At 37.4% G+C, this 25,552-nt stretch overlaps 1 long non-coding RNA gene across 1 annotated transcript in view; it reads left to right on the forward strand.

Moving 5' to 3' along the window:
• LINC00907 (long intergenic non-protein coding RNA 907) overlaps window positions 1-25,552 on the forward strand; it is a 504,759-nt gene that overhangs the window by 472,567 nt on the left and 6,640 nt on the right. Inside the window, exons 8-9 of the long non-coding RNA NR_046174.2 lie at window positions 19,614-19,733; window positions 22,996-23,080. This is a non-coding gene — a long non-coding RNA (long intergenic non-protein coding RNA 907). The remainder of the gene's footprint in view (window positions 1-19,613; window positions 19,734-22,995; window positions 23,081-25,552) is intronic.

Consider the following 25,552-nt stretch of genomic DNA (forward strand, 5'->3'; position numbering starts at 1 on the left):
GACATTTTCACAGTCTTGCATTAAATATGCAAAATCTCATGGTTCTTTCATAATAGAAAGTATTCATGCTGCTTCCCTTGGTCACTCATATGTTATCCCCAGAATTGTCAGTCTGCGGCCTTCTCTGGAAGGCTGGGCTTTGCAGATCTTTAATGACTACATTTGCCTGTTTGTATTTCTGTTTTCCCTTAAGCAACTGTTACTAAGCACCCACTGTGCATAGAATTAAAGGTTTTAAAAATGGTGTCTCTCTCTCTGTCTCTCTCTCTCTGGCTTACAATCTAGTTTAGAGAAAAACACAAATAAGAACATTTATAAACAGTCACCCAGAATCTTACCAAATAAATCTTATCTAATATCTTTATGAATTTTCACTTAGCCTTTTTATCCTATATGGCATGTATAGATTATTTGTTCATTTTCTAGAATTATAATTCTGTCATATATACAGTTGATGTAATTTGTCCCCTTTGTGATATGTTAAAACATATCCTATTCGTTTGCAGAATATGCTTTTTAAAATTTTTTTGAGTCAGGGTCCCTCTCTGTTGTCACCCAGGCTGGAGTGCAGTGTTAACATCATAAGTAAGATCATAGCTCACTGCAGTTTCAAGCTGCAGTTTCAAGCTCCTGGGCTCAGGTGATCCTCCAGCTTCAGTCTTCCAAGTGGCTATGACTATAGGTCCATGCCATCAAGCCAGCTAAGGTTTTTATTTTTTTATTTTTTTTTTTTATTTTTTTTTTTTTTTGAGATAGATAGGGTCTCACTATATTGCCCAGGCTGGTCTTGAACTCCTGGCCTCAAGCAATCCTCCCACCTTGGTCTGGCCTCCAAAAATGCTGGGATTACAGATAGGAATGACTATGCTTGGCCTTTATTTGTAAAATATACTTAATTGCCACATAGCGTACTGAAATTTATTAAAATATTTCTTATTCTTGCACATTTGCATTTTATGCTTTATTACTAGCTTTATTACTACAATTAATGCTTTGATAAACATTATATCAATCTATAACTCACTCCTTTATTCTCAGGGTAATTTCCTAGATGTGAAATATTTGTTTCAAAATCTATCAGCATTGGGGTGGAGCCAAGATGGCCGAATAAGAACAGCTCCGGTCTACAGCTCCCAGCGTGAGTTACGCAGAAGACGGGTGATTTCTGCATTTCCATCTGAGGTACCGGGTTCATCTCACTAGGGAGTGCCAGACAGTGGGTGCAGGACAGTGGGTGCAGTGCACCAGGCATGAGCCGAGGCAGGGCAAGGCATTGCCTCACTCGGGAAGTGCAAGGGGTCAGGGAGTTCCCTTTCCTAGTCAAAGAAAGGGGTGACAGATGGCACCTGGAAAATTGGGTCACTCCCACCCTAATACTGTGCTTTTCCAATGGGCTTAAAAAACGGCACACCAGGAGATTATAAACTGCACCTGGCTTGGAGGGTCCTACGCCCACGGAGTCTTGCTCATTGCTAGCACAGCAGTCTGAGATCAAACTGCAAGGTGGCAGCGAGGCTGGGGGAGGGGTGCCTACCATTGCCCAGGCTTGATTAGGTAAACAAAGCAGCCGGGAAGCTTGAACTGGGTGGAGCCCACCACAGCTCAAGGAGGCCTACCTGCCTCTGTAGGCTCCACCTCTGGGGGCAGGGCACAGACAAACAAAAAGACAGCAGTAACCTCTGCAGACTTAAATGTCCCTATCTGACAGCTTTGAAGAGAGCAGTGGTTCTCCCAGCATGCAGCTGGAGATCTGAGAATGGGCAGATTGCCTCCTCAAGTGTGTCCCTGACCCCCGAGCAGCCTGACTGGGAGGCACCCCCCAGTAGGGGCAGACTGACACCTCACACGGCCGGGTACTCCTCTGAGACAAAACTTCCAGAGGAATGATCAGGCAGCAGCATTTGCGGATCACCAATATCTGCTGTTCTACAGCCACCACTGTTCTACAGCCACCACTGTTCTACAGCCACTGCTGTTCTACAGCCACCGCTGTTCTACAGCCACCGCTGTTCTGCAGCCACCGCTGCTGATACCCAGGCAAACAGGGTCTGGAGTGGACCTCTAGCAAACTCCAACAGACCTGCAGCTGAGGGTCCTGTCTGTTAGAAGGAAAACTAACAAACAGAAAGGACATCCACACCAAAAACCCATCTGTACATCACCATCATCAAAGACCAAAAGTAGATAAAACCACAAAGATGGGGAAAAAACAGAGCAGAAAAACTGGAAACTCTAAAAAGCAGAGTGCCTCTCCTCCTCCAAAGGAACGTAGCTCCTCACCAGCAATGGAACAAAGCTGGACAGAGAATGACTTTGACAAGTTGAGAGAAGAAGGCTTCAGATGATCAAACTACTCTGAGCTACAGGAGGAAATTCAAACCAATGGCAAAGAAGTTAAAAACTTTGAAAAAAAATTAGACAAACGGATAACTAGAATAACCAGTGCAGAGAAGGCCTTAAAGGAGCTGATGGAGCTGAAAGCCAAGGCTCGAGAACTACGTGAAGAATGCAGAAGCCTCAGGAGCGGATGTGATGAACTGGAAGAAAGGGCATCAGTGATGGAAGATGAAATGAATGAAATGAAACAAGAAGGGAAGTTTAGAGAAAAAAGAATAAAAAGAAATGAACAAAGCCTCCAAGAAATATGGGACTATGTGAAGAGACCAAATCTACGTCTGATTGGTTTACCTGAAAGTGACGGGGAGAATGGAACCAAGTTGGAAAACACTCTGCAGGATATTATCCAGGAGAACTTCCCCAATCTAGCAAGGCAGGCCAACATTCAGATTCAGGAAATACAGAGAATGCCACAAAGATACTCCTCGAGAAGAGCAACTCCAAGACACATAATTGTCAGCTTCACCAAAGTTGAAATGAAGGAAAAAATGTTAAGGGCAGCCAGAGAGATAGGTCAGGTTACCCACAAAGGGAAGCCCATCAGACTAACAGCGGATCTCTCGGCAGAAACTCTACAAGCCAGAAGAGAGTGGGGGCCAATATTCAACATTCTTAAAGAAAAGAATTTTCAACCCAGAATTTCCTATCCAGCCAAACTAAGCTTCATAAGTGAAGGAGAAATAAAATACTTTACAGACAAGCAAATGCTGAGAGATTTTGTCACCACCAGGCCTGCCCTAAAAGAGCTCCTGAAGGAAGCACTAAACATGGAAAGGAACAACCGGTACCAGCCACTGCAAAAACATGCCAAAATGTAAAGACCATCAAGGCTAGGAAGAAACTGCATCAACTAATGAGCAAAATAACCAGCTAACATCATAATGACAGGACCAAATTCACACATAACAATATTAACTTTAAATGTAAATGGGCTAAATACTCCAATTAAAAGACACAGACTGGCAAATTGGATAAAGAGTCAAGACCCATCACTGTGCTGTATTCAGGAAACCCATCTCACATGCAGAGACACACAGAGGCTCAAAATAAAGGGATGGAGGAAGATCTACCAAGCAAACAGAAAACAAAAAAAGGCAGGGGTTGCAATCCTAGTCTCTGATAAAACAGACTTTAAACCAACAAAGATCAAAAGAGAGAAAGAAGGCCATTACATAATGGTAAAGGGATCAATTCAACAAGAAGAGCTAACTATCCTAAATATATATGCACCCAATACAGGAGCACCGAGATTCATAAAGCAAGTCCTGAGTGACCTACAAAGAGACTTAGACTCCCACACAATAATAATGGGAGACTTTAACACCCCACTGTCAACATTAGACAGATCAACGAGACAGAAAGTTAACAAGGATACCCAGGAATTGAACTCAGCTCTGTACCAAGCGGACCTAATAGACATCTACAGACTCTCCATCCCAAATCAACTGAATATACATTTTTACAGCACCACACCACAGCTATTCCAAAATTGACCACATAGCTGGAAGTAAAGCACTCCTCAGCAAATGTAAAAGAACAGAAATTATAACAAACTGTCTCTCAGACCACAGTGCAATCAAACTAGAACTCAGGATTAAGAAACTCACTCAAAACTGCTCAACTACATGGAAACTGAACAACCTGCTCCTGAATGACTACTGGGTACATAACGAAATGGAGGCAGAAATAAAGATGTTCTTTGAAACCAACGAGAACAAAGACACAACATACCAGAATCTCTGGGACACATTCAAAGCAGTGTGTAGAGGGAAATTTATAGCACTAAATGCCCACAAGAGAAAGCAGGAAATATCCAAAATTGACACCCTAACATCACAATTAAAAGAACTAGAAAAGCAAGAGCAAACACATTCAAAAGCTAGCACAAGGCAAGAAATAACTAAAATCAGAGCAGAACTGAAGGAAATAGAGACACAAAAAAACCTTCAAAAAATTAATGAATTCAGGAGCTGGTTTTTTGAAAAGATCAACAAAATTGATAGACCACTAGAAAAACTAATAAAGAAGAAAAGAGAGAAGAATCAAATAGTTGCAATAAAAAATGATAAAGGGGATATCACCACCAATCCCACAGAAATACAAACTACCATCAGAGAACACTACAAACACCTCTACGCAAACAAACTAGAAAATCTAGAAGAAATGGATAAATTCCTCGACACATACACTCTCCCAAGACTAAACCAGGAAGAAGTTGAATCTCTGAATAGACCAATAACAGGCTCTGAAATTGTGGCAATAATCAACAGCTTACCAACCAAAAAGAGTCCAGGACCAGATGGATTCACAGCCAAATTCTACCAGAGGTACAAGGAGGAGCTGGTACCATTCCTTCTGAAACTATTCCAATCAACAGAAAAAGAGGGAATCCTCCCTAACTCATTTTATGAGGCCAGCATCATCCTGCTACCAAAGCCGGGCAGAGACACAACCAAAAAAGAGAATTTTACACCAATATCCTTGATGAACATTGATGCAAAAATCCTCAATAAAATACTGGCAAACTGAACCCAGCAGCACATCCAAAAGCTCATCCACCATGATCAAGTGGGCTTCATCCCTGGAATGCAAGGCTGGTTCAACATACACAAATCAATAAATGTAAACCAGCATATAAATAGAACCAAAGACAAAAACCACATGATTATCTCAATAGATGCAGAAAAGGACTTTGACAAAATTCAACAACCCTTCATGCTAAAAACTCTCAATAAATTAGGTATTGATGGGATGTATCTCAAAATAATAAGAGCTATCTATGACAAACCCACAGCCAATATCATACTGAATGAGCAAAAACTGCAAGCATTCCCTTTGAAAACTGGCACAACAAAGGGATGCCCTCTCTCACCACTCCTATTCAACATAGTGTTGGAAGTTCTGGCCAGGGCAATTAGGCCGGAGAAGGAAATAAAGGGTATTCGATCAGGAAAAGAGGAAGTCAAATTGTCCTTGTTTGCAGATGACATGATTGTATGTCTAAAAAAACCCGTTGTCTCAGCCCAAAATCTCCTTAAGCTGATAAGCAAATTCAGCAAAGACTCAGGATACAAAATCAATGTACAAAAATCACAAGCATTCTTATACACCAATAACAGACAAACAGAGAGTCAAATCATGAGTGAACTCCCATTCACAATTGCTTCAAAGAGAATAAAATACCTAGGAATCCAACTTACAAGGGATGTGAAGGAACTCTTCAAGGAGAACTACAAACCACTGCTCAATGAAATAAAAGAGGATACAAACAAATGGAAGAACATTCCATGCTCATGGGTAGGAAGAATCAATATCATGAAAATGGCCACACTGCCCAAGGTAATTTATAGATTCAATGACATCCCCATGAAGCTACCAATGACTTTCTTCACAGAATTGGAAAAAACTACTTTAAAGTTCATATGGAACCAAAAAAGAGCCCGCATCGCCAAGTCAATCCTGAGCCAAAAGAACAAAGCTGGAGGCATCATGCTACCTGACTTCAAACTATACTACAAGGCTACAGTAACCAAAACAGCATGGTACTGGTACCAAAACAGAGATATAGATCAATGGAACAGAACAGAGCCCTCAAAAATAATGCCGCATATCTACAGCTATCTGATTTTTGACAAACCTGAGAAAAACAAGCAATGGAGAAAGGATTCCCTATTTAATAAATGGTGCTGGGAATACTGGCTAGCCATATGTAGTAAGCTGAAACTGGATCCCTTCCTTACACCTTATCCGAAAAGTAATTCAAGATGGATTAAAGACTTATATGTTAGACCTAAAACCATAAAAACCCTAGAAGAAAACCTAGGCAATACCATTCAGGACATAGGCATGGGCGAGGACTTCATGTCTAAAACACCAAAAGCAATGGCAACAAAAGCCAAAATTGACAAATGGGATCTAATTAAACTCAAGAGCTTCTGCACAGCAAAAGAAACTACCATCAGAGTGAACAGGCAACCTACAAAATGGGAGAAAATTTTCACAACCTATTCATCTGACAAAGGGCTAATATCCAGAATCTACAATGAACTCAAACAAATTTACAAGAAAAAAAAAAACAAACAACCCCATCAAAAAGTGGGCAAAGGATATGAACAGACACTTCTCAAAAGAAGACATTTATGCAGCCAAAAAACACATGAAAAAATGCTCATCATCACTGGCCATCAGAGAAATGCAAATCAAAACCACAATGGGATACCATCTCACACCAGTTAGAATGGCAATCATTAAAAAGTCAGGAAACAACAGGTGCTGGAGAGGATGTGGAGAAATAGGAACACTTTTACACTGTTGGTGGGACTGTAAACTAGTTCAACCATTGTGGAAGACAGTGTGGCGATTCCTCAGGGATCTAGAACTAGAAATACCATTTGACCTAGCCATCCCATTACTGGGTATATACCCAAAGGATTATAAATCATGCTGCTATAAAGACACATGCACACATATGTTTATTGCGGCACTATTCACAACAGCAAAGACTTGGAACCAACCCAAATGTCCAACAACGATAGACTGGATTAAGAAAATGTGGCACATATACACCATGGAATACTATGCAGCCATAAAAAATGATGAGTTCATGTCCTTTGTAGGGACATGGATGAAACTGGAAACCATGATTCTCAGCAAACTATCACAAGGACAAAAAACCAAACGCTGCATGTTCTCACTCATAGGTAGGAACTGAACGATGAGAACACATGGACACGGGAAGGGGAACATCACACTCCAGGGACTGTTGTGGGGTAGGGGGAGGGGGAGGGATAGCATTAGGAGATATACCTAATGCTAAGTGACGAGTTAATGGGTGCAGCACACCAACATGGCACATGTATACATATGTAACAAACCTGCACAGTGTGCACATGTACCCTAAAACTTAAAGTATAATAATAATAAAATTACAAAAAAAAAACCAAAAAAAACACAAAATCTATCAGCATTGTTAATGATTTTGGCACATATTACCGAACTTTCCTAAAAATACCAATTTATTATTCATTCAATATATGAGAAGGCCCATCTGTTTCATAAACAATTCCTTGTCAATTTGTATATGATCTTTTAAAAAGATCTTTATTTCATAGATGAAAATCATGACATTGTTTTTACTTGCATTATGTAAAAAGTTGAAAATTTTCTCATTCAAAGGATACTTATATGAGATTTTTACTTGTGTGAGTTGTTTCATTGTGACGTTTTCTCACTCTTTTATTTCTATAAGTAGACTTTAATAACTATTAATAGTTATTTTTAAATTCTTCATAAAACTTCTAATAATTATAAATTTTATTTGAAAATTAATGAAAAATTATAGCTAAGGCTTGTTTATGCCAAATGCAAGCATAGAAAGAAAATTGAAATCTTATTATTTTTTGTCTTATTTAAGAATAGGTTTAAATTACGAGGCATAAGCTTTAGAGCCTGGTCATTTTCTTCTAATACATAGATCTGATTTTCAAACCTAAGGTCCATTTGTTGGTCTTCATCACTTGATAACACACAACCTCCTACCTGCTATGAGTTACTGATATTCAGACATAGATTCTTAGGAGACAATGCTGTTTTTATGTGTTTTTTGTTGTTGTTGTTTTTAAAGAGAACAAATGGTACATTTTATTATAAAGGGGAAATTTATCTTTAAATGCATGGAAATATTTGCTAATCATTGTTCCAACTTGGGGTTTTTGAACTTGCTCATTCATCTCCCTGGTTTCTGCCAGCCAGAGGTAACAGCATCATTCCTGTTAATGTATAATTTCACTCCTCTATGACATTCTTCTTGTTTTCCCATAGTCTTCCATGAACTGCAGTCTTTTTTTTTTTTTTTTGCTAATCCTTCCATGTAAAAATCATATTATTTGTTTTTGATATATAACTTGTAGCTTTAAAAGTATTATTTCCTCAAAGAAGAGAAAAAGTACCTCTGCCCTCAAAATACTTTGCACACTTTCTAAAAATTTAAGAACAGCTAATTTGTAGAGTTAGGAAAAGGGAATCTTATTATTTTAGAATGTGCTGAACCATTCAATATAATGCAGCAAAGAAATTTCAATTTTACCCTCAGACTAATTGCCCAGAAAGAAAAATAAATATACAAGAAAGTTAGCTATGTACAAAGTGGCCAGATGATCAATAGATAAGAAAGGCATTTGGGAGACGATGTATTTATCTATTCCTATCCCATCTCATTCTATTCATTGAGGCAACGTAGAATAAGAGAATGACATCAATAGTGAAGGAAAAAAGATAAATAGAAAACAAGACTAGAAAAGGATGAAATTAGTACGTATAACCTGCAGGCAGAGGTTGCACATGTAGCTTTAATCATCTCAATGCTAAAAGCAAAGAGGGAATACAGATCAGTTTAAGATTCACAGTGTCCATGAAAGCAAACAAGCTGATCCAAGAAGGAGGGCATTTCTTGATGCTGAGATGTACACACCCTATCTTGATGGATTTCATTGAAAATGTATTTTTAATATAATAACAAAAAGACTTGAATAAAGGGAAGAGATGTCAGGAGGACACAATGACCTCAGGCAAAATAATTGGGAACACTAGTATATGATTTTCTAGCATTCCATATTTTTCCCTATCAAAGACTTTTGACACTATAGATTCTTGCATAGTTTCCTATTTTCCCTGCCAAATGGTGTACTCAATGATAGTTATTCAATGATTATATTCTCATTGCATGATATGTGGTATAGCAGCAATACATTTTGAGAAAAAAATATAAATACATAAATATTTTTAAAGAAAGTAAAGACATTTGGGACCTGGATTGAGACATGGTACATATTGGTGCTGTAGTGACCCAGGAAGGCCTGCACCAGGTTTTGTTTAATGATAAGTATATCTACAAGTTGCAAAGACAATAGAGGTATATTGAATGAACCTCAGTCAATCAAATGACTTTCTGCTCTGTATTACAAGTTGGGCAAGCTCAAGGGCAGTCTAGTTCTAAAGGTCAGTACATTGACATGGGATAACTGAGTGCAGGAGTTAAAAGTCAATAAGGATTGTTCTTAAATTATGGAATTCTTGGGCTCACTAATGTGTTCGTTTTCCTGGTTGTTGGCTATCCTCAGAAACACTGCCTTTGGGCTTAGGATGGGTATCTGCACTCCAACTCTGAATTCTGTCCTCTGCCTCTCTTGAACTTTGCTTACCTTCTTTTATTATTCCTTTATTGAGAACTACCTTTTATCAAGCATTTCCTGAATGCTTGGGTTAAAGTGGAAGAGAAATCCACACCCTGCCTTCACATAGCTTGAATTCATAGGGATATAGACATATAAGGTTGAAGAATTGAAATGTTCCTATAGTTTATGGGATAATTTCTTGGGAAACCTAGTAGTCGTCCAGCCCTTGCCACCTTACAAGGCTATTTTGTTTTCCACTTTGTGTTGCTAAGTCAAACCAGAGTCTTACTTGCTTGCAGTTAAACTTGTCACATCAGGTTCTCGAATACTCATTGTGGGAACCAACCCCCTAGTCAGGTGTTCTACCAGTCCGAGAATCAGTTCATGCATTCCAACCACTGTCCTAGTCTAGGTTATTTTCCAACCTTCCTGGCCTGCTCTCTTCTATTGCTCCAGTAAACAGTATGGTTTACTGCATTTGAAAGCCAGGAAGAATTCAGCAGAATTCAGCTCTGATACTCATCAGGAGTGTGACCTTGCAAAATTATTTAACCTTCTGATCCAGAGTCTGTGAATAGGAATAATAGTGCCTTTCTCTAAAGGTTTCTGTGAAGGTCAAAGCAGATGAAATGTTATTCTCTCCCAGTGTCAGGCATAGCAGCCCTTATTTCCTATCTCAGTTCCTGAGAACATAGGTATAGCCAGTAAACTATGCCTGAAGGAAGGAAGTAGAAGTCTAGGAAACTGAAAAATAATTCAATGAATTTATAAGTTGGGATGATTTCCCTAGGCAGTACCCTTAAATAATCCATTGAAAGCTGTAATTTATTAGTAATGTTTGGGATAAAGTGACTTATCCTTTGGGAAATTTAAATGATGATGTAGTTCTCATAATCATTGTTGCTTATTATCTTGTATTCATGTCACACTTCAAAATATGGTGAGTTAACTCTATGTAGAAACAAAATTACAATAACTAAGAACACCCAGGATTGGTAATTGTTTTGTATTCAAATCTATTAAGACGTTTATTATCTCATCTTTGCATAGAACTTTGTAAAATATTTAGTGATTAATAAAAAACTTCAGACAAAAAGGTTTGCCGTAAAGGAGAAAAATGTAGTTTCTCTCATTTTTTGCAATAATGCCAATTTGTGTGTGTGTGTGTGTGTGTGTGTGTATGTGTGTGTGTGTGTATGTGTGTAGTTTTGAATAGCACTAAAGTTTAGGGTGTCATTGTACTTTCTAAGTGTTGATTTGTGTTTTAAATCCTCCAGCTGGTCTAGCATAAAGCAGCAATTTAGTTATATTTTTATTCAGTCACTCCCCCACACTTGCTCACACTTGCTCTTCCTAGGGCTATGAGCCTTTATTAAGGTTATAAAATGCTTTGACCGTCATCAAAGGCACAGTGACTTCCCTTGAGGTCCAAAGCATTAATGATGAGGTGAAATGCAAAATCATTATTGGAGGGCTGCATCTCTCCTACCTCAGTAGCTATTCAAATCATCCAATTGAAAGGTAAACCTATCCAAAAGCTAATAAAGAATTCTCCCCAGCAGTTGAAATATTGGACAAATTGCTTTTCAACTCATGATAGGATGTTAACTGGGTGACAGCCCAATGCTGCTGGTTAACTATATTCCACCTCTGTAAGCTGGGTAATTGATGGTCTTTAGGTCTGAAGGTCAACAGTTGTTGGTGAGTTTGCAATGAGAAACTTTACCATGGAAATAGGCCAGTGGTGAGTGTTTATGACTTGTCATTGTTTTAGCGTCAAAGTCTCTATGAGGAAAGCCATACTCATTTAGGGGTAGTGTCACATTTGCATTCGACAGTTTATGAAAACTTGAAGTGTACTGGTGGAAAATTGAATGGTGACAACATGAAAAAGTGTTACTTATGTGAAAATCAGTTTATAAAGACTGGATCTCATTCCCTTCCCTTCAAAAACAAAGCAGTTTGCACCAAAGTATGTAACACTCATGGGTGAGAGTGGTGACAAGTAAGTGTCTCCAGTAAAATCAATCTGTTTATTTCATCACAGATTTGAAGACTATATTAAAAAGGCTCATGTATTTGAGAGCTACAATAAATCATGAAAGTTCATCTTGACCAGTTATTGTCCCACTTTCATATATATAAAGTTACTCATTAGTTACATGGTTAAAAAATGGGGAAGTTCTTTAGGAATACATCAAAATTTGGATTCCTTATAATTATCATATTTATAGTGAGGCAGGTGCTCTTGGGCTTCGATTGCGTAATGCAATAATTTGATGTATACCCTCGAAAGATAAAATACATCCCATTTAAAAGGGATCTAAATAAACAACTAATTTAGGGGTATCCATCTAATTCCTGTGTCCACAGAGAACCCGGATCTATATAGGTGAAAATGTAAGTTGATAATTGTTGTCAACACATCATAATACTTTTTTGAAATAATATATTTACTGATAGATATAAAGATCAAATTATTTGCTTTTGACTGTTTGTTTTGACACAAATAAAGAGAAACAAGGCGGAAGCTGTGATTGGGCTAAAGGAGCTGAAAACAAGAATCAGAAAGATTAGTTCCACTCTAAATCTGAACATTAAAAATGTATCCTGTTAGGTCAGAGCATACCTAAAAGTAAAGTGACTTGTGGAAAGTATATAAAATCTGAACTTTTTGTTAAGTTTAGAGAACTAAATTTAACCCCTAATGTTTGTGTAGGTCTTGGTACTGCCAAAGCATTTCCTCATATAAACTGGGCGTTAGCACGTAATACACAGAGCACTGGACTGGGAATCAGAAGACCTGGTTTCTCAGAATGACTCAGACAATATCCATAACAAACTTAAATAGTTATTCTATTTGCCAAGGTCCTTAATTTTTTATGATACCAGATAATCTTTAAGGCTTCTTCTAGGTTCAAACTTCATGATGCATGTATGTTCATTACCGTTAAATGTGTATTGTACACAAGAAATCCATTAGGCTAGTGTGACTAGAGTTATGTACACTTGGACTTTGGGCATCTTGAAGGCAGGAGGTCTGCCTCCTAAAGACTCAACCATCTGTTTCCTCACTTTTGGAGGAGCATATATTTTTAAGGTAACAATTGAAAAAAAAAGTCTAATAAGGAGAATTTTAAGGCAAATTTACCTTGGACCTAGTTAGCCTGTGGTGTCCTATATAGAGTTAACTTCAGACTGGGCAGCATTTGGGTAATGCCTTCTAAAGGGTACCCCTCCAGACAGTGTTTGGACTCTAGTTTCTCATGGAAAAGAGGAGTGAAAGGAGAAGCTGAAGAACTAGTGGAACTTATGTCTGTGTCTTCAATATTTCCTATAGATGAATACAGAAAAACAAGAAAGAAACAAAACTACACCAAGCAATGCATTCAACATACTTGAAGGTAGAATATGGCTTAATTTTTAAATAAATAACTGTAATCACAAAAGAAAGAAAGACAAATGAAAACAAACAAGAAAACACCAAACTCTGGGAAGTTCTTTTATGAGCCTGCCATGGCACAAGACTTTGAGATCAAACGAGAGCAATCTGAGGAAAAGTGGAGGGAAGAAACAAGAGGGAAGCTGTGATTGGGCTAACGTTGATCTAAAAACAAGAATCAGAAAGAGTAGTTCCATTCTAAATCTGAACACTAAAAATGTATCTTGGTAGGTCAAAGCATATATGGTAGGGAAAGAATTTAATAATGTGTGTCACCTGACATGGCAGCCCCCCCAGAGCTCCTGGGGAAGAAAAAGACCAAAAGTGAGAGAGAAACATCTTTTGTCAATTAAGTGGCAAGAGAAAAAGCAAAAGGGGAGATAGTAGGGCTATGCAAGATAAAAAAGGACAAACAAACAAACTGGAGGACACCAGTTTTTCCCTCAATCATAAAAAGTAAAATGAAAATCACTAAAGATTCTAGACTTTCATACCGTGACAGAAGAATATGCCATTATAAGTATTAATTTTATAAACCACCCCAAATCCACAGAATAAACAGAAGACAAATAAATCTAAACAAAATTACTGTAACACATCAGAAAATATGTTTTAGCACACTTCAGCTGATAAAGATTATTTTTTTCCCTGTAGAAACATAAAGCAGGACTTACAGTCTCCAGTCCAGCATGAAAGAAGCTTAGAAGTGACTGCTCAATCCTAACAAGTAAAAAGTTGAAAAAACTGAAAAATCAACTCTTCTTAAATCTGTAAGGGTGGTAAGGTCATAGGACAAACTGCTGCCCCCAAAATTGGAGAGACAGACAGGCTGGATACAGAAAATCACAACTTATTAGAAGCAGAAACCCATGAACAGAAACCTCCATTGAAACTAGAGCAGGGGTAGAAAAGCATGAACTCTAACTGATGAATTGCTGGAGGCTGAGTGCTGAAGTAGAAAGTACAATAAACTTATTGATTGTTGTATAGGCAATAGGTAGGATTTAAAGTATACTATTAAAAATCAACAAACCAGAGAGTAAAGTGTTAAATAAGAAATCAGGGGACAAAAGAAATAAAATAATAAAAAGAAGTTAACTAGTTAGATTATATAAAAACATAAGTTGCGTGTATGTGTATGCATGTGCGTGTGTGTGTGTGTATTGCCCGAGAGTATATTGGGGCATACTTTTGCGGGGTGGTTCAGTGAGAATGCTCTTCCTTCAGACTTGAGTAAATGCTGTTGAAAGCACAGGTATCACTAGCATAGAAAAATATATGAGTGTATGTGCACAAATATGTATATATATACACATATATAAATTTATCTCTGCAATGCATTGTTTTTCAACTTGGAATTGAGAATGTATGTGATTTTTATTACATGAAATGTTGTTGCTTTGACAGAAATGGCAAGTGGAACTAACACTGTGCAAACCCTAAGCACAGTTGCTGTGTTTATCTCTGTAATAGTGATAATATGATTAAGGGAATACAAAATATGTAGGATATGGACTAGCCATAGTGCTGGTGGCAAAAGGGAAAGAAAGGACATTACTCTTGAGCAAATGAGAGATATAGTCAGTGTTGGATTTCTTCTGGTATGTTTGGGTTTTAGAATTATATTCTTATAGCTTTCTTAACAACCACTATTTATTAAAATTCTTTCAGAGGAAAAACAATAAAGAAGCTTGAAACACTTACTTTAGCCTCACACCTGCTTTTCCATGAAGTGCCTTAATAAAATGTTTTATTATCAAAACCATTGCATCTTAGCAGAAAACACATTTTAATTGCATGGGTTGACAAAAGGTGACTCATTATTTTGCAGAATATTTTCCCAGCCAGAGTCTGTGACCAGCTGCTCTTAGAAAAGCTCTTAGGGTTGAGCTTTTCTCTTACATATCAGAGCCCAACATATTCCATACTTTCAAAATAATTGCAAAATAAGTATACAAAAGTGTGAACTACTTTTTATTTTTAACAATTTATATAGAGATCCAGTTCTCCCTCTTTTAGACACATTACAGGTTGTCAGTTCCCTTTGTTGTTTATAGCTCCATAAAATTTCAACCCCCATGAACAAAAGAATATGCTAGTCTATAGAACTGAACTTAAATTATTTTGCTCCTACTCAGAAAGGTAGTTTAATTATTTCACAAACTTCCCTCATTTAAAACGAATTTATTCTGTCTTTGATGCTTACTATAAATTGCAACCATGCTTCATTCTAATATATTCTATTACTATTTGGATCCTCAGAAGATTTAAAGGGTGCCAATTTCCTGTACGATTTATCAGAAAATATTTAGCAATTCTGTTCAGAGCAAACTTATAAAAATACAACAAAAGATGTATTACATTGTTTTCATTTTAGCATGTTTTCAGAACTGGTAACCTAGTTCCTTCTTGCTTCCTTTTGACAAGAGTAAGTTTAAAATTAAATATTAACCCTTCTCTCCATAAAAATACACATATGTTATTTATTTAGGATGTACCAGTTATAAAATTGAGTTTCATATTTTTCTGCAATGCCTAATAAGGATTATCCTTCCTTATTAGATTTGATTCTCTTTCCTCATCAATTTTATTTAGTAGCCCTATCACCTACTCCCGTCTAAAAAGAAAATGAAAGACACTATTCCCTGGGTGGAAGAGGGAGGGTTAAACTTTCTTCTAGCATTTCTTTCTGTTTTCCAAGAGAAGGTATCTAACTAACTGGTGGATCGAATCCCAGAGCACTGACTGGGCCATGCACACCCAAGTGTTAGGTTTCTGTGTGTAAGAAGGCCATTCATATTGTGATGGTCAATTTTATGTGGCAACTTGACTAAGCCATGGTGCCTAGTTGCTTGGTCAAACAATGGTCTACTTCTTATTGTGACTATTTTTTGGCTTTAATAACATTTAAATCAGTAGGCTTTGAGTAAAGTAGATTACTCTTGATAATGTGAACGGGTCTCAGTCAATCAGCTGAAGGCCTTTAAGAGCAAAGACTGAGATTTTCAAAAGAAGGAATTCTAGCTCAAGACTGTAACTTCAATTCTTAGTTCAATCTCCAGCCTGTCAGCAGCCTGCCCTACGGATAATTTCTCTCTCTTCCTCTCTCTCTCCCCGCCCCCACTACTGGTGTTGCCTCTGGAGAGCCCTGACAAATACACCTGCTAGTGGGTCTCTCATATCCATTTTCTCTTTGTATTTGTCTGGTGGAGGAAGTTTACTACACAAGGCCCACTCTTTCATTTATATTTGTTCTGTGTTGTCATGCCCCTTCCATTTCATATGAGTACTCTACAAATAAAGATAAGAATTTTTCCTCAGAGGTAAGAAATCCCCAGACTATGAGTCCAGAGACTCCTGCATGGTGTCTTCTAGGCACCTGGCTAAGACAAAGTGATCCTTCCCCTAGTGTGTGTGGCTCCCTTAGGACCACAGATAATGCCAAATATCATCCAATATAATTATAAATCTTACATAATATGCCAACATATTCTAATGCCTAAATTTGTTGGAGATTGAGAGGGGAAGCTCTATGTTGTCTGAATCTGTCTAAATCTGGTTCTAACATAAGATGGAACCACTCTGGGCAGAAGATAGAAAAAAGTGGCAGAAAATCTCACCTGTTGAGGTCTCACTTTGCTCTAAACCCAAGGCATTTGTTCTACATTATTATATTATTTAACATCATTAAACTCACGCCATAATCCTGTGAGGTAAACATTGTCATGAGAACACTCAAGATCACAGAGCCCTTAAGTGTCTGAGTTGACAGCCACTCCAATAAAGGAACACCTGCTCTCATAGCTGTCACTGTTTGTTCATCTGCTGGCTAAGGTGATAGGGGTCCATAAACCCACAACAGAGGTGAGGATTGGCCTTAAATGTTAATTTTCTGAAGGTATTTAAATTATATTCTTCTAGAAGTTTTATTCTTCTAACCACATAATGAAGACTGTTGTCCACCAAAATCCACGTTCTTTCAAAATTATGGAGTTGGACTAAGATTCAGCTGTGTTATTGCAAACTGCATATCTTAGCCCTCTTAGCAACAAAGCGTTGCTATGTAAATGAATTGACATGTGGCCTTTCAGATTTTGGATATCTTGCCATACTCTTTTTTCTCTCCCTACTGGCTAAGATGACCAGGGCATGGCCAATCATGAAGTCATTTTCTGCAGATGGCAATGGCACCGTTCCCCTGTGTCTCTGAATCATGACAAAAAGGGAACAACCCACTTGCCAAGAACACCTAACCTGGACTATTACATGACTAAGAAACAGACTAGTATATCTCTTAAGTCACTGAATAATTGTTAGGTGTCTTAATACAACAGAATACCTTAGTCTATCCCTTATATTTTTAGTTAGTTTAATTAACATATAACATTTTACGATATGAAAATATAGTACCCTAAAATATTTCATTGGTGAACTTATTGTGATAATTAAATAAATATATTTATGCATGATGAAAATTAACTGTCCAGTGAATAAATTGGGGAAAAAAGATTACATCAAATTGGTTGAAGGTCAATATGTTTAAAAAAAAATTAATTGGTAATATTTGACTGTTTTTTCCTTTCCAGTGTATTTTAAAAGCAATATGTAGATTCAATGCCATATCAGGTGTGTGCTCAGTCTATATATGCAGGAGTACTTTTATTTCTTTGCTGCTCTTCATTATAGCTATGTCCTAAGCTTATCTCAAGCAAATTATATTTTCAAACTCATTAATAACAAAAAATGAAGACAGTATCTCCACCATTTGCTTGTTCATTTAATTCATATCATTGACTTCTCTGATGTCTTTTAATATGGCAGACTTTTATTACAGATGTTGGGTGAAGTCTCACTGAAAATTGGGCAATGGGATGGATGAATTCTCATAAGCATTTCAAACTTCCTCTAACATGGTTATTTTTATTAAAAAATTATTACAGAAAGGCCTTTCCAAACTTACTATTTTTTACTTACTTAGATAGCAGATCAATCTAGTGTCCTAACAATACACTTACATTTGTTTTCGTGAGCATGGAACAGGTGGGCACATATAAGAAATGTTAAGCTTCATCAGTCTGGCTGAATATAGATTTCCATGTGGTGATTTTCAACATGGTAAAGGGAAGAAAAAATTGGTCTAGCAACATAGCAAAGGCAGTAACTAGATAATTTCAGTCTTCAGCTCCCACCTTAGCCCACCTATAAACTTTTTTCTTTTTATTCTTATCTTCTACTTTTATCTTTCTATGGCCCCTAAATTCTCATCTGTGAGATATAATTTATGAAAACATCCATTGGGTCCTATAAATATTTTTAATAAAAACCCATTTCACTTGAGGAAAAAAAATACAAAATCCTTAACTTGGCTTCCAGTGAACACATTTTTTCCCATGCTGGCATGACTTCCAGTTGTTCTATATGTTTTCAACATTCCTAAGCCACAGTGACCCTTGTGTTTTCACTGTTTTTTAAAACATTGAGTACTTTTTTCCCTTAAGGCCGTCTCACACACTGTGTCCTTGGCAGGAATACTTTTTTTATCCACTCTTCTCTCTGCTTCAAGTTAAATGACACTTCCTCAAAAAGGCCCTTTCCAACCAAGCTTCTGTGTTATAACTTAGCACATACCGGAATTGTAATTTACTTTTGTGTCTGATATTAATTTTTGTCAATTTTCTGTAGTGAATACCTGTTGGTTTGCCAACTCAGTATTCCTTCCCATTTTCTATGAGTAGAAATATCTTTCTGGCAATTTCTTTCCTCACTCAGCCTTTGTGAGATATCTCCTAAAGATGTCTTTTCTGTTATAAAATTGTAACCATCAACTACAATTTTCTAGTAGAGAAATGGATGCCTAAATATAAGACTTTTCTGCTAGTCACAGTTGATTGAAAAAGGGCCAGAATTTTTCCATAGGATTTTTAAAACACAATTATCATAGTCAGTCTTCTCTCAAGAAGAACTCTCGTGCTTTTAGCAGCCTTGTTTCTACAATTTGAAGAAATACAAGATGTCTACAATAGAAGAGAATGAGGCTAACATGCAGAAATCAGATATGAGAAGGACACTGAGAGTAGCAGCAGTGAGTGAGTTCCTGGGACTAGTTCTCCCAGAAACCAGGTTATAACACTGACCTTCTTACAGAGGTACTGATTTTATGAGGTACTCCAGTGTCTAGATAGCTTAAGTTGGACTGCTGTTATTGATAATCAAGATTGTCCCAGGAGCTGTACACTTGACAAAGTCACAGTGTGTCTCTCTTAAGAGGATGCCCGATCTTTCTATTTTCTTTGAAGCAGACATATTTGCATAATTTTGCAAAGGAAGCTCTATATGTTAAGGGCCTATTAAACTACAAAGGACTCAAATACTAATAATTAAGTTTCCTTATTTCTATTTAGACCTTCAATGATTATGTGAAGGGCTTTCATTTTGTTTTAGGTTGAAATCTGAAAAATGTCCAGAGTGTGGAACTTTGCTTAGTACCTTGATTAAAGCCAACCATTCTAGATTGTTTTCCCTATTATGTTTCTTTCTATTCTCCCAAAACATAAACTCTTATTTAAAAATATGTTTAAAACTGTTTTTTTTTTTTCTGACAGAATTTCGCTCTTGTTGCCCAGGGCTGGAGTGCAATGGTGCAATCTCGGCTCACCACAACCACTGCCTCCTGGGTTCAAGCGATTCTCCTGCCTCAGCCTCCTGAGTAGCTGGGATTACAGGTATGTGCCACCATGCTCGGCTAATTTTGTATTTTTAGTAGAGATGGGGTTCTCCATGTTGGTCAGGCTGGTCTCAAACTCCCAACCTCAGGCAATCTGTCCGCCTTGGCCTCCCAAAGTACTAGGATTATAGGTGTGACCCACTGCACCTGGCCATAAAAATGTACTTTTAGTAAAATGTATTTATCTGATTTGTAGCATTTAAGACTTCCTATATTTGGTTAGCTCAGGTATGGTTGGGGGTGGGAAGGAACTCGACTATTTTGGTACTTTTTCCTGAGACTATTTTGCTAATGAAGGCTCCACAGATCCAACTGAGTGATGTAAAAATATAGGCTCCCTCTGTCTCTCAAAATTCCCACCCTGGGACCATACTCTTGCCACCTCACCATATGCTTAGAGTATTTCAGGGAGTAAAGTCAAGTTGAAACAACATTTCCTACTGTTTCACCATGATTGTTTGTACAACAGATGTAGGCAATCCATCAATGCCAGGAGGAACTGAAAGGAAAATGTTCTCATGACCATAGACACCAAAACACAATCTTAAAATTCTGTCTTAAAAAGCAACAAAGAGCAATATTGGGCCCCTTTTAAAAAATAAGTATATTAATATTAAAATATTTAAATGATCCATTTGGAAGTAGATTGAACATAAGCCAAATGGAAATAAAGATTGGATAGGTGAATAATTGCAATAATGACAATGATAACATGTAACTAATTATAGATTACAAAACGCTTTGAGCCAGGCACGCATTTAATGTGTACAGCAGTTCACATGAGGCAGTGTTTTTAGAGATGAGAAAAATAAAATTTAGTTAGGGGAAGTGATAGAACTAGTGTTGTCAGATGAAATACAGGGCATCCAGTTACATTTGAATTTCAAATTTTTTTAAGTTTAAATATGTCTCAAATCTTGCGTACTTATCTGCATTCGAATTTAGCTGGGTGCCCTGCATTTTTATTTCCCGAATCTGGTAACCCTAGATATGATACAACAAGATCACACAGTTAGTGATTGGCAAAGTAGGTAATCCTTAACAACCAGTGGAAAAGGTAGTAGCTGACATGAACTTTGAAGTCTCTAGTGTACACTCAGGTGGAATTATTGTCATTGGCAGGGCATTGCGTGAGACGTAACTTCACACCCCAGATTGCCAGGTGAGAAACTAGTTTGAAATTGTCCCTGACCGGGCACATATTCTATTGAGCCTTTTTGAAATATGTGTGGTATGTTGACACAGGTGGGGATTTACATTAATTGTAAAGATTTCTTCAGTGACTACCACATCCACCAATGGTTGAGGGTTAAAGATCTCTTCAAGTACAATGTGTGCTCTGAGATATTTATGAAGAACTAGCACATAATTAAAAAAATACTAACCAATGGGTTTCAAGTCTGAGCTTGGACTCTGTTAGGAAACAGATTCCAGAAGGGACATTTTGTGGACAATATAGAAACAAGGCCCTCTACTTTTCTGAACTTGTCAAGGGTCACTGTGGCAAGTAAGTGAAGACTTTGGTGGGCTTCTTGATTCAGTCTTCAAGGCAGACACTTGTGGATCCTACTAAGTACTACATATTGTTCCACTAATCACAGTTTTTAGGTTCTTGAATCTACATATGAGTGCAAAGACAAATAGGTAAGAAACCTATAGATTTTGTCAATGGAAGTTCAAAAATCTGAGTTATTTGTTTCAGAGTGAGCAATCATAGAGAAATTTCAGAAATGTACATATGGCTTTTTTTTCCAGATGTGGCCAAAACAAGAGTTCTATAACTTACTTTATAAAAAATAAAATTTAGTTAGGGGAAGTGATACAACTAGTGTTGTCAGATGAAATACATATCAAGCTAGACAGAATTGGATAGTGGTAGCTGGTCATGTTGACTTGACTGTAATAAGATGCAATTTATAGGTTTGGGCTTAGCACAAATTTTTTTTCCAGTGAACATATCCATAGAACACTAAAAATAAGTTCCCCCATGGGGAGTCAGAGTCATTAAGAATCCTAAGAAATGGGATCTTCTCCCTTAGGCAGCAGAGTTGAATGCATGGTGCTGTCTCCTAGGAGGAATTCAGTTGAAAGTTATATAATAAACTAGTACTACTCTGTTACATTTTAGGTGTAATCACCCATTTGAGTATTTCTTGACTAAAGTGGACTTCAAGTATCATTCCAGGAGTATGCCTCCAGTACCATGAGAAATGATGACATAGACTTCTACTGTGGAGTGAATGATACAAATGGGGATTCAGCAAGCCCCAATCTGTATGTGCTCAAACTAGGCAAAAAAACATTAAGAGGCTTAACACTTGACCACAACGACAACACTAAAAAGCCATAAGCCCCAGTATTGTGTTTCAGGGCAATGCTAAAATTTATAGACTCTTTAAAATAGAAACATATCGGCCGGGCGCGGTGGCTCACGCCTGTAATCCCAGCACTTTGGGAGGCCGAGGCGGGCGGATCACGAGGTCAGGAGATCGAGACCATCCTGGCTAACACGGTGAAACCCCGTCTCTACTAAAAATACAAAAAATTAGCCGGGCGTGGTAGCGGGCGCCTGTAGTCCCAGCTACTCGGGAGGCTGAGGCAGGAGAATGGCGTGAACCCGGGAGGCGGAGCTTGCAGTGAGCCGAGATCGCGCCACTGCACTCCAGCCTGGGTGACAGAGCGAGACTCCGTCTCAAAAAAAAAAAAAAAAAAAAAAAAAAATAGAAACATATCTGAAAGGGAGAAAACCACTTATATCTAAAGGAAACAATCCCTGTAAGTGATGGTGGAAAAGCAGATCAAATTCCAGATAGAAAGTGATGCAGATTTAATTAAGGAGAGACACAAACATCATTGTCATGAGAGTGATAGCGAAAGTTTGGGGAAAGCTCACTTGAGCCAAAACTTTAGAGATTTTGCCATGTGGGTGCTTTTCCATCTTCCTAGAACAACAAGATCAATAAATTATGACCATTTTTGGAATCAAGTTGCTGTTTATTCTCCTCAAATTGTGTACAGTGCACTATGAGAGAATGAATAACATTTAAGCATTTATGCTTAAAACTTCTTCCTTTAGAAATTATCTGCCATTCAAAATGTAAGTTCCCTAAGCTATTTGAGTGGATACTTGTGTCTTTGATGAGAAAATAAAAGAGATAGAAAAACAAAAGTTTTAATAGGGTTTTGCCAAAGGTGGAGGTATAACAGGAGAATAAAGATTGTGAAATTTTAACATAGTTTCTCTACTCTTTATCCTATAGGAAGTACAAAAACATCCTTGCCGTTTGCTGGAATGATGTACTGCTGAAGGCAATGGACACTGGGGTTGTTTGTCCCTAATCACAAGTGAGCAATACCAGATCTATTATCTCAGGTTCAGAGAAGTGAGGTGTCTGACCTTCAGACAGGATTGAATGCAGAGTAAAATAATTCCAAATATGGTCTGGGCATTGCATGTAATACAGAGTAAAAGTTATTGTAAGACACTTTCGCCAGTTTCTGTCACTTGGTTCCTCAAATGTTTAGTTCATTCTAATTACATAATCAGCCTTCTGATTCAATGAAGACTGATGGGATTGCTGACTTGCCACCCTGGAGTTCAGTTGGCAGCAAGTGAGGGAAAAGGTGAACTCTGTAAACAAGGTTTAGAAGCCCTTTTCTTAACTCTTTATAAAACAGAGAAGATGAGGAAGGAGAAAGGCACTGTCATTAAGCTCTTAGCCAGGGAATTACACATACACACACGTGTGTGTGTGTGTATTTCAACTCAATGTACAAGGACTTCTCAGCCCATAGCTACTTTGAACACATTGTTTATCCCCCATAGCATGAAGGACTAAAGGAACCAGAGATTTCATAATCTCTGGCCTGTAACGTTTTTGCTGAAATATCTGCTGTTATTCTAATGGGGTTTCCTTTAAAGGTGACTAGTCACTCTTCTTTTGCTAATTAATTTTTTTTTTCACTTTGACTTTAGACATTCTGAATATAATATGCTATGATGAAGCACTTTATGCAATGTATATTCCTGAGGATTGCTGGGCCTCCTGTAACTAGATGTCTGACTCTCTTGCTAGATGTGGAAAGTTTTCATCAATTATTTTCTTAAACAGGTTTTCTAAGCTTTTAAATAATCTTTCTTTCCCATCAGGAATACCAATAATTTCTAATTTCAGTCACTTTATGTAGTCCCAGACATCTCAAAGGCTTTGTGCACTCCCTTTTATACTTTTTTGTTGTCGTTATCTTTGTCTTACTGGATTATTTCAAAAGACTTATCTTCAAGTTCTGAGATTCTTTCTTCTGCTTGATCTATTCTGTTATTGAAGCTTTCAAATACATTTTGCATTTCCTTCAATAGTTTTTTTAGGTTTAGATTTTCTGCTTTTGCTTTATAAGATACCCATCTCCTTGATACATTTCTCATTAATATCCTGAGTTAATTTTCTAATTTCTTGAAGTTGGCCCAAGGGTGGAATGCAGCCCCGTGTTAAACTCTCAAAACTGTGCCTTGGGCCTGTGACCAGACAGAGCAGATTTCTTCTCAAGTAAGTAGCATAGAAAAGAGAGATCCAAATAAACACAATCATAAATGAAAAAGGAGACATTATAGCTGATAACACAGAGGCACAAAGATCATCAGAGACTATTATAAATAACTATATGATCACAAACCAGAAAACCTAGAGGAAACCAATAAATTCCTGGAAGCATACAACCTCCCAAGATTAAACCAGAAAAAGGAGAACTCTTACACAGACCAGTAATGAAAAGTGAGGTTGAAATAGTAATTTAAAACTCTCCCAACAACAACGAAGCCCAGGACCAGGAGGATTCACAGTGAAATTCTACCAAACATGCAGAAAGAACTACTACCAGTCCTCCTGAAACTTTTTCACAAAATCCAGGAGAAAGGAGCTCTCCCTATCTCATTCTACAAGGCCAGTGTCACCTTATTCGTGATAAATACAGATGCAAAGATCCTCAACAAAATACTAGCAAATCGAATCCAACAGCACATCAAAAAGATGGTACACCATAATCAAGTGGATCTTATCCCAGGGATTCAATGATGGTTCAACATACACAAATCAATAAGTGTGATATATCACATAAGCAGATTTAAGGACACAAATCATAGGTCATTTCAATAGATGCAGAGAAAGCATGTGATAAAATTTAGCATTAGTTTATAATAAAAATCCTTAACAAACTAGGCATAGACAGAAGATACTTCAACATAATAAAGGCAATATATGACAAATCCTCAGTCAACGTCATTCTTAATGGAAAACATTTGAAAGCATTCCCTCTAAAAACTGGACCAAGTCCAAGATGCCCACTTTCACCACTTCTATTGACTATAGTACTGAAAGTTTTTGCCAGGGCAATCAGGCAAGAAAAAAATAAAATAAAAGTCACCCAAATTGAAAAAAAAGAGGAAGTTATCCCTGTTTGCTGATTTTATGATGTTACATTTAGAAAATCCTAAAGACTCCACCATGATACTCTTAGATTTGATAAATAAATTTGTGAAGTTTCAGGGCACAAAATTAGGAAACAGGAATTTGTAGCATTTCTATACACCAATAATGTTCTAGCCTGGGATTAAATCATGAAGGCAATCCCATTCACAAAGATACAGAAAAATGTCCCCCCCAAAAAAACACACACAAAAAACAAACAAACAAACAAACAAAAACCTAGGAATATATTTAACCAAGAGTGGGAAAACATCTCAATAAGGAGCACTACAAAACACTAATGGAAAAAATTTTAGATGTCACAAACAAACAGGGAAACATCTCATGCTCACTG

The sequence above is a fragment of the Homo sapiens genome, chromosome 18, assembly GCF_000001405.40.
Source record: "Homo sapiens chromosome 18, GRCh38.p14 Primary Assembly".
Taxonomy (NCBI): domain Eukaryota; kingdom Metazoa; phylum Chordata; class Mammalia; order Primates; family Hominidae; genus Homo; species Homo sapiens.